At 41.1% G+C, this 16,832-nt stretch overlaps 1 long non-coding RNA gene across 1 annotated transcript in view; it reads left to right on the top strand.

The window, feature by feature from the left end:
• The window catches only part of LOC100130207 (uncharacterized), a 100,062-nt gene that overhangs the window by 12,628 nt on the left and 70,602 nt on the right, over nucleotides 1-16,832 (top strand). The window contains exons 3-5 of the long non-coding RNA NR_149025.1: nucleotides 5,547-5,745; nucleotides 8,926-9,007; nucleotides 10,445-10,523. This is a non-coding gene — a long non-coding RNA (uncharacterized LOC100130207). The remainder of the gene's footprint in view (nucleotides 1-5,546; nucleotides 5,746-8,925; nucleotides 9,008-10,444; nucleotides 10,524-16,832) is intronic.

Below are 16,832 nucleotides of genomic sequence, written 5' to 3'. Positions count from 1 at the left end.
GCTGGAGTGCAGTGGCGCGATCTCAGCTCACTGCAAGCTCCGCCTCCCGAGTTCACGCCATTCTTCTGCCTCAGCCTCCTGAGTAGCTGGGACTACAGGCACCCACCACCACGCCAGGCTACTTTTTTTTTTTTCGTATTTTCAGAAGAGACGGGGTTTCACCGTGTTAGCCAGGATGGTCTCGATCTCCTGACCTCGTGATCTGCCTGCCTCGGCCTCCCAAAGTGCTGGGATTACAGGCGTGAGCCACCAGGCCCGGCCAACCACGTGGTTGATTCTTAATGGCAGGACAGTTATATGGGATGTGGTTTGCCAGGTCACTTTCTGGAATGTTTCCTGGTGAGCCTCTGGTGAGAACTGGATTCTAGATTCAATCTTACCACTCATCACTTTCCATCTCTGACCCTCTATGTTCTTTATGTGTAGAATGAGACCACTGAAAGTATCTGTGATATTCATACTTTCTTTCCCCCCAGAACTTTTAGGTTAAATTAAATCATAAGAAAACACCATATCAGGCCAGTCCTGGTGGCTCATGCCTGTAATCTCAGCACTTTGGGAAACCAAGGCAGTTGGATAACTTGAGGTCAGGAGTTCAAGACTGGCCTGGCCAACATGGTGGAACCTTGTCTCTACTTAAAAATACAAAAAGTAGCTGAGCATGGTGGTATGTGCCTGTATTCCCAGCTACTCGGGTGGCTGAGGCAGGAGAATCACTTTAATCTGAGAGGCAGAGATTGTAGTGAGCTGAGATCGTGCCACTGTACTCCAGCTTGGGCAAGAGAATGAGACCCCCATCTCAAAAAATATAAAAAAAAAAAAAAAAGGAAAAGAGAAAGAGAAAAACCATTTCAAGACATAACAGCAAATTTATCCAGGTTCTTGGTCACAACAACCAAATCTACTCTAGCTAATTGGGCAGGAAGATATTTACTAAAAGGTGCCAGTTTGCCTACAGGGTCTCTGGAAGGGCTGGAGAACATGGATGTTGCCCAGCCGGGAATAAGCCCCCAGAGAAAACCCCCTGACATCCCACGTGCCTCTTCTGCTGGAATCAATGTTGTCATTCTTGCCCATCATTCGATACCTATCCCACTATGGTCTGGTCTGGTCAGAAAGTCTGCACACTTCTCCCAAATCATACTGACATTGTCCTTGCCAGAAGATCTAAGCCCCTAGCCATAGCAGTCTTTTTATGTAGCTCACTGTGCCTCTGTGCTGCTTGACCAAACCTAGGCCCAGTGCAGAACAGGAAGCCAGCTAGAAGCCAGGACTGGGTGCTGGTTGGGCCAATTCACTGTTCCTGCCATCGGCACTCATTGAAGATGGCCAGGGCAGGAGCCCCTATTCAACTTTCTCTTGTCCCTGTTACTTGGGGATGATGGTGCCTTGTTGGCTGGTCAGGCACTGAACAGGGCCCCAAAGCTCTGCAGATCAAAGTCAGATAATGACCAAACTAGATTATTTTCAAGATTCTCTCTACTGCTAAAATTCCTTGATTCTGTTTTCCAAGGTTAAACTAAAGTAGAGGTGTTTAAACAAGTACTTTCCTGTAGGTCTTGGCTAATTCCAATAAATTCTCTGTAATTATCAGTAGTTAAGAATATTATACCCAAGGAGTATGGCTTTGTCTATATTTACATTGCCTACAGTGTTTGGTACAAGTTCAAATTTATAAGCCCCTAGCACAAAGCTCCAGAAGTCAAAAGAAGGAGGGGGCAAACTTAAGCTACCTTAAATTATACAGAGGTCTGTTTATGTAATCTTTGGCTCTCTAAAGTCTCTCAATTATCAGAAAATAACTGTTATCAAGGTACCCCAAAGACATCAGATATCGATGAGGTGCCATCTTATTAGGCATAATATGTCCATCACTGTATGATAACTTGGGATACACCATGTCATTTTGCCCAAGAGCTTGGGCTCTGGATTTATTCCCTTGACTTTTGGAAGCATTAGTTAACTTATCCATTAGATGGGAATAATACTAGTAACTGCATCATGTTGCAAGGATTAAATAGGACAATGTATGTTAAATTATTAGCACATTGCTTGAGACAATAGATGTTTTGTCTAGTGCAGTCGCTGGAGCATCTACCCTAGCCTTTGGACCTTTGGGAGTCCACATGGGGCCTAAATGGTGTTAGCAGCTGAACAGTGATTTGGGGAGGCTGCTGCTGGGGAGGGGAAAAGCAAGAGATGTGATATTCATAAATGTGCCATCAACCCACAAGTCCTCCATCATCACCAAGACATAGGGACAGAGTCTACTTCTGAGTCTCCCTTAACTTTTAAAGTTTGCCCTTGATGTTTATTATTGTATTAGTCTGTTTTCATGCTGCTGACAAAGACATATCCAAGACTGGGCAATTTACAAAAGAAAGAGGTTCAATGGGACTCACAGTTCCATGTGGCTGGGGAGGCCTCACAATCATCATGGAAGGCAAAGAGGAGCAAGTCACATCTGACATGGATGGTGGCAGGCGAAAAGAGAGCTTGTGCAGGGAAACTCTCGTTTTTAAAACCATCAGATCTCGTGAGACTCGTTCACTATCACGAGAACAGCACAGGAAAGACCCGCCCCCAGAATTCAATCACCTCGCACTGGGTTCCTCTCACAACGTGTGGGAATTGTGGGAGTTCCAATTCAAATTGAGATTTGAGTGGGGACACAGCAAAACCGTATCAATTATAGACGGATTTCATCTATATTTGACTCAGTAGACATCGACAAACATCAGCTACATGTAAAACAACAAGGCCTGAGAGGATCATATGGGGGCTAAGGTGGGGACATGAGGAATTAATTATGTTAAAGAAGAGACATTAGGGTTGACTCTGCCCCATATATGTTGGGAAACCACAGATAGCATGAGTAACCATCCCAGTTTGCCTGGGACTGAGGGATTGTCTCAGTCATAAAACAGTTCTTTTTAAAACCAGGATTGAGTGCTTTCCCAGGATGTGGCATTTTCATGCTAAAGCCAGGGAGGTTCTGCTAAATTGGGATAGATTGGTCATGTTAACGTGTTTTACATCCCCTCTTGGACAGCCTCTCTACCTTTGAGGAATTTAATTCCCTGCATTCAAAATGAAAAGCTTTGAACTGGGATGTGGTGGTGATGTAGTACAGAGAAGTCTGGAGTGAGATATAAGAGAGCAGCTCAGACCCTGGCTCTAGCTCTTGCTATTGTGATGACTCTTGGCAAATTGATTACCTCTCTGAAATTCAGCTCTCTCATCTATACAAGCAGAAATACCCACCTCCTGGGAGTTCGAACAGGTTACATAAGATAATATGTGCACAAGTGCCTAGCACAGAGAGGAAGTGCATTTACATTTTAATTTTCTTTTGAATAAGAAAACATGTCACATTGGCTTAGAGATAAGAAGTTTCATACACACGCTTGTCTGAATTAGCCTTTCTTCGTTTATGCTTCATGTATTGCCCTGGTAATGCTATTTAAATGTTTCCATTGAGTGTGTTCCAAGTTACTAACAAAATTGTTGTAAACTCCCCAAGTGTAAGCGTTACCTTTTCACGTCTTGGCTATCTCCTGAAAGCTTCTAGAAATTAGTGTAGTCAAATTTTGGGAATACAAATTGCTGAGATTGGTTCGTAATGCCTTTAGAATAAAATATGCAGCAAATATTTAGTTTTTGATCTGCATTTTATACTGCAAGCCTACCACCATGAATGTTAATGTTATATATATATAAGAGGAGCCAGCTCAGAACAGATCCTCTTGAAGCCTTTATCTTACCTAAATTATTGCATTTTAATCCCTTTATCCATGTGATTTCCTTGCCATGTGCAAATGCAAGGGCAGTGAAAGGTGGTAGAGACAGGACAGATGTATACCTTGCCATGCTAAGTAGGCAGAAATCCTTCTGTGCCCATGAGCCTGAGAAAACATGGTTGAAATGTCAAAGCTAACTGTGGGGCCTGGAGTTTATAAGCAGCAACAAGCAGCGCATGCAACCCCACATTAGCCAAATGGAGATAAACGTCTTTGTAATTTCTAATTTTCTGTTAACATAATGGGTTAGTCGGTCTGCTCATTTGGGAAACTCTTAAGGGCTTTATTTAAAAGTTCCTAGGGGAGAAAATGTCACCCATTAGCAGTGAGCTTGACTCTTCCCATATTAATTTCCTTTCTCTCCTTTTCCTCCCTCCCTCCATCTCTTCCACACCAAGCAGTTTCTGTGATTGACTTTATGCCAAATGTTCATTCAGCATCCTTGGCGTATGTTGTTGTATGATGGCTGTGCTGGTCTTCACATTATGTCTCTCCTCCGGATGATTGAATCAGCAGAGCCAGATGCTCTGATGGCGAAAGGCATTGCAGATTCTGAGATGGTTTAGCCCTGGGTCGTTGGGATCATCCCCTAAACCAGGCTGGAGAAATCTGCTAAAATCACTTAACTGGAAACATTCCCTTCTGCTGCTTGAAAGATGTTCCTGGGTGTGTGCCCATAGATTGAAAGAGGTGATTTGCAGCGTTTTATTTTCAGGGTGGCAGAAGGGAGGTGGGCTTCAGCTGAATATTGCCAAAAGAGCGAATATGACCTTGGGCTTCATTAAAAGAAGTGCTGAAAACAAGGGAGGAGAGGTTTTGCTGAACATGAGCGGCGGTCTTTAATTTACTCATTTATTCGACTAAAATATATGGCGCCTATTCTATGAAAGGCACGGTGCTGTGAGAGATACAAAAATAATAGCAGCACAGCAAGACAGATGTAAATTGTATTAAATGAGAGTTCTTTGAGGGGACTGCTGCTTTTCTAGTTTGGCTCATGGAATTGCTAGATTCTTTACTCCAGCAGTCACAAACCCAGATGTCTGCAGGGGGCTGGCAGATAAGTGAGTAAAGTGGCATGGTAGGGACTGTGCCAAATTGGAGAGGATGTGCCCTGTCTGAAGTGGGCAGCTGCTATTCAGTCCTATTTGATTGCCATCTTCTGAGACTGTGGGTCTGGCTTTGCCAAGAAAAACTGGGAATCCAAAATTTGGGTGAAATAGTCCATTTAAAAACGTCAAGATAGCAGCTAAGTCAAATTTTTAAAAGCTCTGTAGAATAACTCAAATGTCTTTGGGCTACATCCTGCTCATGGGCTTCTCATTTGTAAATTCTTCTAATAAGTAGTGTTCACCCAATCGAGGCATATTTGTCAGTAGTTAGAGGAGTCCTTTAAGTTGAGATTTCATGTAAATAACCAACTGGTGTATGCGATAGTTAATATTGAATGTCAACTTGCTTGAATTGAAGGATGTAAAGTATTGTTCCTGGGTGTGTCTGTGAGGGTGTTGCCAAAGAAGATTAACATTTGAGTCAGTGGACTTGGAGACGCTGACCCACCCTCAATCTGGGTGGGCGCCACCTAATCAGCTGCCCGCACAGCTAGAATAAAGCAGGCAGGAGAAGATGAAAGAGCAGACTTGCTGACTCTTTGCCTTCATCTCTTGCCTTCATCTTTCTTGCCTTCTTGTCTCTCTTCCCTTCATCTTTCTCCCATGCTGGATGCTTCCTGCCCTGGAACATCAGACTCCAAGTTCCTCAGCCTTTGGACTCTTGAACTTACACCAGTGTTTTGGCAGGAGCGCTCGGGCCTTTGGCCACAGACTGAAGGCTGCATTGTCAGCTTCCCTACTTTTGAGGTTTTGGGACTCAGACTGATCCACCACTGGCTTCCTTGCTCTTCAACTTGAAGACGGCCTATCGTGAGACTTTACCTCGTGATTATGTGAGTCAATTCTCCTAATAAACTCCCCTTCGTATGTACATATACCCTATTACTTCTGTCCCTTTAGAGAACCCTGACTAATACAGTAGAGATTGCCTGGACTTATTAATAATAATGACTCTGTTTAGTTAATGTAACAGACAGATAAAGACAAATGAGTGACACCCATGCAATTAAAATAATTTTGGTGGGGAGTGAGAGGAGTTGGTTCTCCACTCACAGTGGAAAGTTTTAGCGTATACTGCTGCACATGACATGGGAGTATTTTGCACTTCCACTGGAAAAAAGTAAGGGGAATAAAAACCCCTGGATTCTACTTGCTGACTTGAGAGTGACTAAAGCGATTTATCTGAAGGTTCCCCAGGGTGGATTCATAGTGGACTCAGGCCAGATTCTCTGCTGATGCTTTGAACTTATGTCCAGAGCATCATCTCCACCACAAAAGAGCTTGCCTGCTCTGTGTCCTGGCCAAAGAGATGCACGTGCTCTCTCACTGGGTTGTGGCTCTTGAGTAACTCCTGGAATTACCCAGCTGGAATTTCTATTCCTTTGGACCACAAATTTCATATCTTCACCTGCTGCCTATATCATGCTAAAAGATGGAAATGTCTCAACTAAACCATGTAGGTGGACTAGCCTCATTAACAAGATAAGCAATGGGCCATTTTCTCACTGGTTATTAACTATGTACATTATCTATGAAATAACATATCTGGTCATGGTTACTACTCTATTCTGTAGGGTGGAATAGAAAAAGGTAGAGGATATATATTTCAGTTGCATTTTTAAAATTGTTTATTTTGTTTTTTAATTGACAAATAATATTAGGTTGGTGCAAAAGTAATTGCAGTTTTTGCCATTAAAGGTAGACAAGGCTGGGCACGGTGGCTCAGCACGCTTGTAATCCCAGCACTTTGGGAGGCAGAGGCGGGCAGATCACAAGGTCAGGAGACCGAGACCATCCTGGCTAACACGGTGAAACCCCATCTCTACTAAAAATACAAAAAATTAGCCGGGTGTGGTGGTGGGCACCTGTAGTCCCAGCTACTCGGGAGGCTGAGGCAGGAGAATGGCGTGAACCTGGGAGGTGGAGCTTGTAGTGAGCTGCACCACTGCACTCCAGCCTGGGCAACAGAGCAAGACCCCATATCAAAAAAAAAAAAAACAAAGGTAAACAAAAACCTTAACTACCTTTGCACCAACCTAATAATTGTACATATTCATGGGGTATGTAGTAATGTTTTGGTACTTAAAGTGATCAGAATAGGGTAATTAGCATATCCATCATCTCAAACATTTATCATTTCTTTGTTACTATATTAGTCCGTTCCCACACTGCTATGAGGAAATACCTGAGACTGAGTAATTTACAAAGGGAAGAAGTTTAATTGACTCACAGTTCTCTACGACTGGGGAGGCCTCAGGAAGCTTACAATCATGACAAAGGCAAAGGAGAAGCAGGCATCTTCACAGGGCAGCAGGACGAAGTGAGTGAAAGCAGGGGAAGTGTCAGGTGGTTATAAGACCATCAGATCTTGTGAGACTCACTCACTATCATGAGAACAGCATAGGGGAAACCGCCCCCATGATCCAGTGACCTTGACATGGTCCTGCCCTTGAAACGTGCGGATTATGGATATTACAATTCAAGATGAGATTTTGTATGGGGACACAGCCAACCCATATCATTTGTGTTGGGAACAGTTGCATTTTTTTTAGGTAAAATGAGTGGCATAATGGTTGACATTAACAATGTGAGGTGATTACTCACTAGTTGTAAAGAACTGAAGATGTGACTGGTAAATTTGCTCAGATTTTCCTTTCCTAGGCTGGGGAAGCTAGAATTCAAGCAGAATCTGTGACCTACATAGAAACACATAGAAACTGAAATTAACATATTTTGTCCAGATTCACCTGGATTAGCCTGTCCCACATTGGCATAGATAAAACATGATTAATATGCTTTGGGAGGGGCTGGGAGATTGAGGAACGCATTTTACACTTGGCCACAAGAGGAACAGGTGAAGCACCATTAGCTGTTGAATTTTTGATCTTTTTATTTTCTTCATGAAAAATTTGTTATTTTTAACATTTTTTACATAATAAACAGAAAAATAAATTATATGTCACATAAAAATTTATGTTTCACAAATTTACGGTGATTGATGTACTTTTGACACATCTATCACGTTTTCAACATTTATAATTTTTTTCCACTGGGGAGTTGAAGTTTTTGTACGTTCTTTCTGTATGTTTATGCAAAGCTTGTTTTTCAGACTCTTTGTTTGCATGGTTTCTGTGCACTAAGGACTTTATAAAAATCAAATCATTCTTCATCCCAACAATCTCATGAGGTAGATATTGTTATCTGGCTTCACTTTGCAAGAGCTGAAGCTTAGGGCAAATAAGAAATGCTTACAATCTCGCAGTTAACAACTTATAGAGCCAGGATTTGAACCCAGTTCTGGCTTATTCTCATAGTAACTTCATTGCCAGCTATGAAATATCCATGACACCTGTTTATACCTCAGAGCAGTCACTTTAATATATTTATATTAACTTCTACGGAGAACATAGTTAAACTGAGGCCAGACATTTTTAGCAAATGCCCTTAAACTGGGGAGGTGATGAACACTTGAGATGGCACAAGACCCAGGTTTCCATTAAATTTGAAATTAAATGGAAATACAGTTGACACCTGTGTCTTTAGGCAAATTAACTGCTATAACTAAGTAGAAATTACCCTCTTCCTTGTGGAAATACACCAGTTGGAGCTGTGTAGGTTATGAAGATCTAGCTTGCGATTTGAAAAAAGAACCCATTCCATGAGCCTGGGCTCATGGGACTTTTAGGCAAGTCATTTAGATCTGATCTCATCAAACTGGCTATGTCAAAATGCATGTAACCGAAATAAAAGCTGGTGCTCGACATATTCTAGTACTTGTTCAGTGTTGCCTTCAAAAAAATATAAGCTATCAATCAAAAGTAATTTACACAATTCAGATCTTTATTGGAATCTCTTGAATAATGTCAAGGCAGATAAAAATCTGAAAATCCTATCCACCTTTATTAAAATAATATTTCTTTAGTTCTCTCAAACCCAGTATCTCTCAGACCAGGAGCTGACCTTAAAATTAAGGCCTTTTTATTTATTCATTTTTAAATATTGCCTCTCTCAAGCCTTGCCTGGATTCTCCACCTCCTCAACCCCAGGAAGCAACAAGCTATCAAAGACAGAATTTGCACAACAGGACAAAGGAAGGTAAGGCTGGGAATACTGATATTTTATTTTTGCTCTGTCAGACATAAAAATACTATGTGTAATTCCTAAGGATTGTGTGTAACAGAGAAACTGGGACACACTCCATCCCTAAGTCTCCCTTGCACCGTTGCCACAGGCATGACTCAGGAGCCACAGGAAGTTCAGGGAGAGCATGAGAGTCGAGAGTGGTGAAAGATTCATGTATGTGGTGGGAGGGGAGATAAGATACATAGGTGGACTGAGTTGAGTAGCAGGCATGGGTTGAAGCTTAGCATTGGGGTGAATATGACAGATTTTTTGGTGTGTAATTTTTAGATAACATGTGATGCCTTCTGTTTTAGGCAGCATCAAAATGATCCCATGCCACAGTGACTATGTCAGAATGTCATTGACCCTGCCTCTGATGCGCTCTGATGGGCTTGCCTCTCTCTTTTCCACTTATATGCTTCTTTCCCAACTTCTGGATACCGATCAAATGTCAGGTCAGGTTGGAGTCACAGAATGTCATGCTTAGAAAGAACCTTAAAGGTCATACACTTCAGCAGTTCCCTAATCTCATACCTGGCCTGTTTTCAACATGCATATTCTTGTATTGCACTTCTCAGAGTTTTTTCATTTATTTGTTTGCTATGGAACCCCAAAAACTGCAATTAAAAAAATCTTCCCAATTGTTTTTTTTTAACCACTCTGCTTTGAGAAATCCAGATTAAATTCACCTGCTTCCATCCCACTTGATCCTATGCCTTCTACTCAATTCAGTCCACCTGTAAATCTTACCTCCCCTGTCATCACATACTTGAATCTCTCACCACTCCCTCCACCAGCAGGGCTCTTAGTCAGCCTAGGGATGGTGTTGATGATGGGGATGGGAGCTCATATGTACTGAGTGCTTACTAATGGTCAGTCATTGAGCTAAGGGTTTTACCTAATTTATCCCACTTAATATATATAGCAATCTCAAGAGACAAATAAGATTATTATCCTCATTTTCCCTTAAGTCATTGAATTTGCTGTGAACACACTCTTTTCTAGGTTTCTGCTCAGGTATTTCTCCCGTTGTGAGGCACTCCTGGCTACTCTGTGGTCTTGGTGATGTGCCTTACCTTTGTGCTGCTGCAACGTCTGTGCTAACTGGGGTTCTTCCATATATTATTGGGATGATAATACATTTAACAGCTGAGAGTGTGGAGTTACTCTGCCACTTCCTGGCAATGTGGCTCTGGGCAAGATAAACTTGCTCTGCACATTTTTTTTTCGTCTGTAAAATGAAGATTAAAATAGCACCTCCTCTTAGGTCTGATGTGAGGACCAAGGCACAGATGCATGTTAAACACTTAGAATAGAGCTGGGAAGAGAATAAATGTCCCACAAATGTTACCTATAATCTTATTATACCAAATTTTAACCGTCCATTTACTTGTCTTTCCCCTTTCATAGGCTATAAGCTTCTTGAAGGCAGAGATTATATCTCATTCAATCTTCTATCTCAAGTATCTACTGCAAAACCAAGCAAACGGTAAGAGCTCAATAATTGGTGGTTCTTCATGTCATCCTTATCTATAAAAGGGCTCAAAATAAAATATCATAAAGACATCCAGCCCACACACTTACTTATTTCTCTGAACATTTACAACATTTCTAAATGATACCACTCTACTGTCAATTAATAAGAATAATTTATTTTATTGTGATTTAATTACATGGTCCTATACATTTACTCACTGCTTTGCCTACCAGACAAACCTAGATTTGAACCTTGCTTGCTTGCTTCTCTTGCTCTCTGTGTGGCATTGGGCAAATCATTGCACCTCTTGGATCCTCATTTTTCTCATCTGTAAGATGGAGATGATATAATACATCTTCCTTGCAGAACGGTAAAAGGATTAGCAGTGTTGTGTGAAGGACATGTTGTACAGTGGCTGGGATGGAAAAGATGTCCAGGAAGAGGTACCTATGCTTTCTATTGCATGGAAGGAGTTCACCACAAATATTTGTTAATTTATTATCGGCCTCTGTTTAGTATAGTCATACGCCTCAGAGATATTGAGGGTCTGGTTTCAGATGACTACAATAAAGAGAATGTTACAATAAAGCAAGTCACACACATTTTTTGGTTTCCCAGTGCATATAAAAATTGTGTTTATGCTACACTGTAGTCTATTAAGTGTGCAATAACATTATGTCTAAAATGTACGTACCTTAATTTAAAAATACTTTATTGCTAAAATATGCTAACAATCATCTGAGCCCTTCTCGAGTCTTCATCTTTTTGCTGGTGGAGGGTCTGGCCTCAATGTTGATGGCCACTAACTGGTCAAGATGATGGTTGCTAAAGGTTTATGATGGCTGAGGCAGTTTCTTAAAATAAGACAACAATGAAGTTTGCTGCATTGATGAACTCTTCCTTTCATGAAATATTCCTCTGTATCACGTGATGCTGTTTGATAGCATTGAACTCAGAGTAGAATTTCTTTCAAAACTGGAGTCAATCCTCTTCAACTCTGCTGTTTGTGTGGTAAATGCACCTGATAGCATTAACTGAAACACACCCCGAGGATGACCGTGTGTGGTAGATGCACCTGAATGTGTTCTGAGCTAGGGAATCTGGGAGTGGCCAACCTGGAGATTCATTCCTTGCCTGTGAGGAACATCTGAGTCCTTGTCCCATCCCATGGAACATGGGCCATACAGGGGATTGAGACCCTGAGTTTTCCATTAAATAGAGGTTGCCAGGTGGAGGTCATTAAGGGGAGGGTATTAAGTGAAAATGCAGTGTAAACTGCATACTGTTTGCAAACTTTTGTGGCCTTCCTGTCCAGCCCACCACCACTGTACCATTTCTGTATGTAAGGCGGCTCCCCTGTCCAGCTCTCTGCTACTGAACCTCCCTTGTAAGTAATCCCCTAATAAACCCAACATCTCATTTGCTGGCTCTGGCTGTCATCTTCAGCTTCTTGAACAGGTGACTTGCCTATTGAGGTTAATAGGGGTTTGGCACAACACCATTGCTTTATCAACGAAGTTTATGCAGTATTCTGAATTCTTTGTTGTGATTTCAGCAATGTGCACAGCACCTTCATTAGGATCACCAGGAGTAGATTCCATCTCAAGAAAATACTTTCTTGGCTCCTCCATAAGAAGCAACATGTCACCTGTTTCAGTTTTATGAGGTTGTAGTAATTCAGTCACATCTTCAGGCTCCACTTCTAATTGTAGTTCTCTTGCTATCTCTGCCACATCAGCAGTTACTTCCTCTATTGACGTCTTGAACTCCTCAAAGTCATCCATGAGGGTTGGAATAAACTTCTTCCAAACCCCTGTTAGTCTTTTATTTTGACCTCCTCTCATGAATCACAAATGTTCTTAGTGGCATGTAAAATGGCAAATCCTTTCCAGACAGTTTTCAATTTACTTTGCCCCAATCCATCAGAGGAATCACAATCTACAGCCTTATGGAACATATTTCTTAAATATTAGGACTTGAAAGTTGAAATTACTCCTTGATCCATGAGCTGCAGAATGAATGCTGTGTTGGCAGGCATGAAAACGACATTCATCTTGTGCATGTCTGTCACAGCTCTTGGGTGACCACTGACGTTATCAATGAGCAGTAGTATTTTGAAAGGAATCTTTTTTTTCTGAGCAGTAGGTCTCAACAATGGGCTTAAAATATTTAGTAAACTATGCTTTAAAGAGATGTGCTGTCATCCAGGCACTGTTGTTCCATTTTGAGAGCACAAGCAGATTAGGTTTAGCATAATTCTTAAGGGCTCTAGTATTTTCAGAATGGTCAATGAGCATTGGCTTCCACTTAAAGTCACCAGCTGCATTTTAGCCTCTAATAAGTGAGTCAGCCTGTCTTTTGTAGCTTTGAAGCCAGACATTGACTTCTCTCTAACTATGAAAGTCTTAGATGGCATCTTCTTCCAGCATAAGGCTCTTTGATCTACACTGAAAATCTATTGTTTAGTGTAGCCACCTTCTTCAGTCTTAGCTAGATCTTCTGGATAACTTGCTGCAGCTTCTCCGTCAGCACCTGCTGCTTCACCTTGCACTTTTATGTTATGGAGATGGCTTCATTGCTTAAACCTTATGAACCAACCTCTGCTAGCTCTAACCATTTCTTCTGCAGTTTTCTCACCTCTCTCAGCCTTCATAAAATTGAAGAGTTAGAGCCTTGCTCTAACTTAGGGTTTGGCTTAAGGGAATGTTGTGGCCAGCATGGTTTTCTTTTGTTTTCTTTTCTCTTTTCTTTTGTTTTCTTTTCTCTTTCCTTTCCTTTCCCTTTCTTTCTTTCTTTCTTTCTTTCTTTCTTTCTTTCTTTCTTCCTTCCTTCCTTCCTTCCTTTCTTTCTTCTTTCTTTCTTTCTTTCTTTCTTTCTTTCTTTCTCTTTCTTTTTTCTTTCTGTCTCTCTCTCTCTCTCTCTCTTTCTCTTTTTTGCTCTTGTTACCCAAGCTGGAGTGCAATGGTGCGATCTTGGCTCACTGCAACCTCCGCCTCCTGGGTTCAAGTGATTCTCCTGCCTCAGCCTCCCTAGTAGCTGGAATTACAGGCACCTGCCACCATGACTGGCTAATTTTTTGTATTTTTAGTAAAGACAGGGTTTCACCATGTTAGCCAGGCTGGTCTCGAACTCCTGACCTCAGGTGATCCACCTGCCTCAGCCTCCCAAATTACTGGGATCATAGGCATGAGCCACAGTACCTGGCCGCCAATGTGGTCTTCTATCCAGACCAGTAAAACTCTTGATATTAGCAATAAGCCTGTTTTGGTGTCTTATCATTTGTGTATTCACTGAAAAAGCATTTTTAATTTCCTTCAAGAACTTTTCCCTTGCATTTATAACTTGGCTTTTGGCACAAGAAGCTTAACTTTTGGCCCATTTCAGCTTTTGACATATCTTCCTCACTAAGCTTAATCATTATTAGTTTTGATTTAAAGTTGGAGATGTGTGACTCTTCCTTTCACTTGAACACTTAGAGGGCATCATAGGTTTTTAGTCAGCCTAATTTCAATATTGTTGTATTGCAGAAAATATGGAGGCCCAAGGAGAGGAAGAGAGACAGGTGAATGGGTGGTTGGTGGAGCAGTCAGAATACACATGTTTATTGATTAAGTTCACCATCTTATATGGACATGGTTAATGATGTCCCAAAACCATTACAAAAGTTGTATCAAAGATCACTGATCACAGATCACTGTAATAGGTTAAATAATAATGAAAGACTTTGCAATATTGTGAAAATTACCAAAATGTGACATAGAGACATGAAGTGAGCATGTGCTGTTAGATAAATGACACCTATATTGGGGAAGAAGAAGTGGGGAGGGGTGAAGGATAAATAACTAAACATTGGGTACAATGTACACTACTCGGGTGATGGGTGCACTAAAATCTTAGACTTCACCATTATACCATTCATCCATGTAACCAAAGACCACCTGTACCTCTAAAGCTATTGAAATAAAAAATATTTATGAAATAAACTAAAGAAAAATGGCACCTATAGACTTGTTCTATGCAGGGTTGCCACAGATGTTCAATTTGTTAAAAAGAAAATTTGCAGTATCTGAAAACTACAATAAGGAGAAGCACAAAAAACAGGGTGTGCCTGTGATTTTCATTGACAGGAAAACTCTTTTTTTTTTTTTTTGAGATGGAGTCTCGCCCTGTTGCCCAGGCTGGAGTGCAGTGGCGCGATCTCGGCTCACTGCAAGCTCCACTTCCCGGGTTAATGCCATTCTCCTGCCTCAGCCTCCCGAGTAGCTGGGACTACAGTGCCTGCCACTACGCCCAGCTAATTTCTTGTATTTTTAGTAGAGATGGGGTTTCGCCGTATTAGCCAGGAGACATGAAAACTCTTTCGGGCCTGAAATCTTTTGAGTCAAATTTCCTGAAGAGCTAGTATGGTTGAATTGTGTGCCCCTAAAACATGTGTTGAAATCCTAACTCCCAAAACCTCAGAATGCGACCTTTTGGGAAATAGCATTGTTGCACATGTCATTAGTTAAGATGAGGTCATTCTGGGGTAAGGTGGCTCCTAATTTGATGTGACTGGTGCCTTATAAGAAGAGGAGAGAGAGATGCAGGGAGAACGCCATGTGACAACACAGGCAGATTGGCATGACCTGGCTGCCAGCCAAGGAACCCCGGGGACTGCTGTCACCAGCAGATGCTCGGGAGAGGCAAGGAAGGATTTTACCCAGAATCTCACGGGGAGCATGGCCCTGTTAACACCTCGGTTTTGGAGTTCTTGCCTCAAGGACTGTGAGAGAATACGTTTTAAATTGCTTCAAGCCACCTAGTTTGTGGTATTTTGTTATGGCAGCCCTAGGAAATGAACACAACTACTATGCTAAACTTAATGAGCATGTTTAGCTACTCTACAAAAGTAGCTTTCTTAGAGTTACTCTAGAAAAAAAGAAATATTTGTATTACTCATGAAAATGAGCACCTTGAGGTTTTCCACAGGTGATGGATTTTTCTATCCTAGACATGATTATAGCTATAGAATGACTGGCTGACTTCCAGGGGAAAGAGAGAGAAAAAAAACCACCCTATTCAGAGGTTTTTTTTTCCCCTGAACTTCCAAACTTTTTGTAAAGAAGTTTGGGTCCCAGGAGGATCAAAGAGCTTTCAGTTATAAGATAAGAAAATTCTGCTTGCATTTACTATTTATGAGTTGTGGCTTCATATTGTCACGTGACCACATGATGCTTTGCTTTTAAGAACCTGCAAATGACATGAGATTCATTATTTTTTCATGTAAAGAGGATGATGGCAAGCTCTGCTGTGTAATACACAACCAGCCTATCACTCTTGCTCTAGAATTGATATTAACATTGTCCATTTAGAAATTAGTGGACTACACACCATATTCATGAACATAATATTTGACACACAGGCAATATTTGATGGATAGAGCGTTCAAGTGTTTAATTGCAGTACATGATTCATGGGAAAATCTTCAACTCTGAGTTATTTATTTCCTGGTACTAAACTCAGGAGCATAGTTTTCCAAGGAAAGCACACATCTAATAAGGAAACCCATTAGCTTTGTTCTCATATTTCTCCTCCAACAAGGGGGCTGCTACCATTTGTGCTGCTACGTTTGATTCAATTTCTCAGTGCAAGCAGAATGAAATTGAAATAGTCAAATAAGTTGGAGTAAATACTAAAAATTAACCTTATAGTAATCCAAAGTGTCCTAGAAAATAATTTATTTATTTATTTATTTTGAGACGGAGTCTCGCTCTGTCGCCGAGGCTGGAATGCAGTGGCGAATTTGTATGTATTTCTAAAAAGCCTTTCTTCTGGGGGGAAAAAAGTTTTGTGTTTCAGTCTGAAATACTGCTAATTGGAAACCCAGTCCTGTCATGGAAATGCTGCTATGTCCTGTTTTTTGCATACATTCAATGCTAATGTGTCTCTCCTGGCCTCAGCTTCAAGGAATGTCTTAAGCTATGAAATGATGAGCTTCCTCTCTTTTTGTTGGAAGCAATTCCACATTTCCTTGAATCAGTTTTTGGCTCAGGTTACTACTGCACAGTTATGACTATTTTTAGTGTTTTTTTTTTCTTTTATACTTTAACATGTTCCCCAGAATTATTCTAAAATAGCTGAATGATCATATAATTATTTTCTCTTCTTGTGAAATTCATCTTCCATTGCTTTTGGTGTTATCTCTGTTCTCTAAAACATTGAATAAAGGACATTCATTCATTCATTCATTCAACTATTGTCTACCACTGGAATTGGCGAACAGAGGCTTTCTGCCTGTATCTGTACCATTTGCAGGCTAAGAATGCTTTTTACATTTTTAAA

Source organism: Homo sapiens, chromosome 3 (assembly GCF_000001405.40).
Source record: "Homo sapiens chromosome 3, GRCh38.p14 Primary Assembly".
In the NCBI taxonomy this organism is placed as follows: Eukaryota; Metazoa; Chordata; class Mammalia; order Primates; family Hominidae; genus Homo; species Homo sapiens.
Note: the sequence above shows the minus strand (reverse complement) of the source record. Positions and strands in the feature narration are given on the sequence as shown.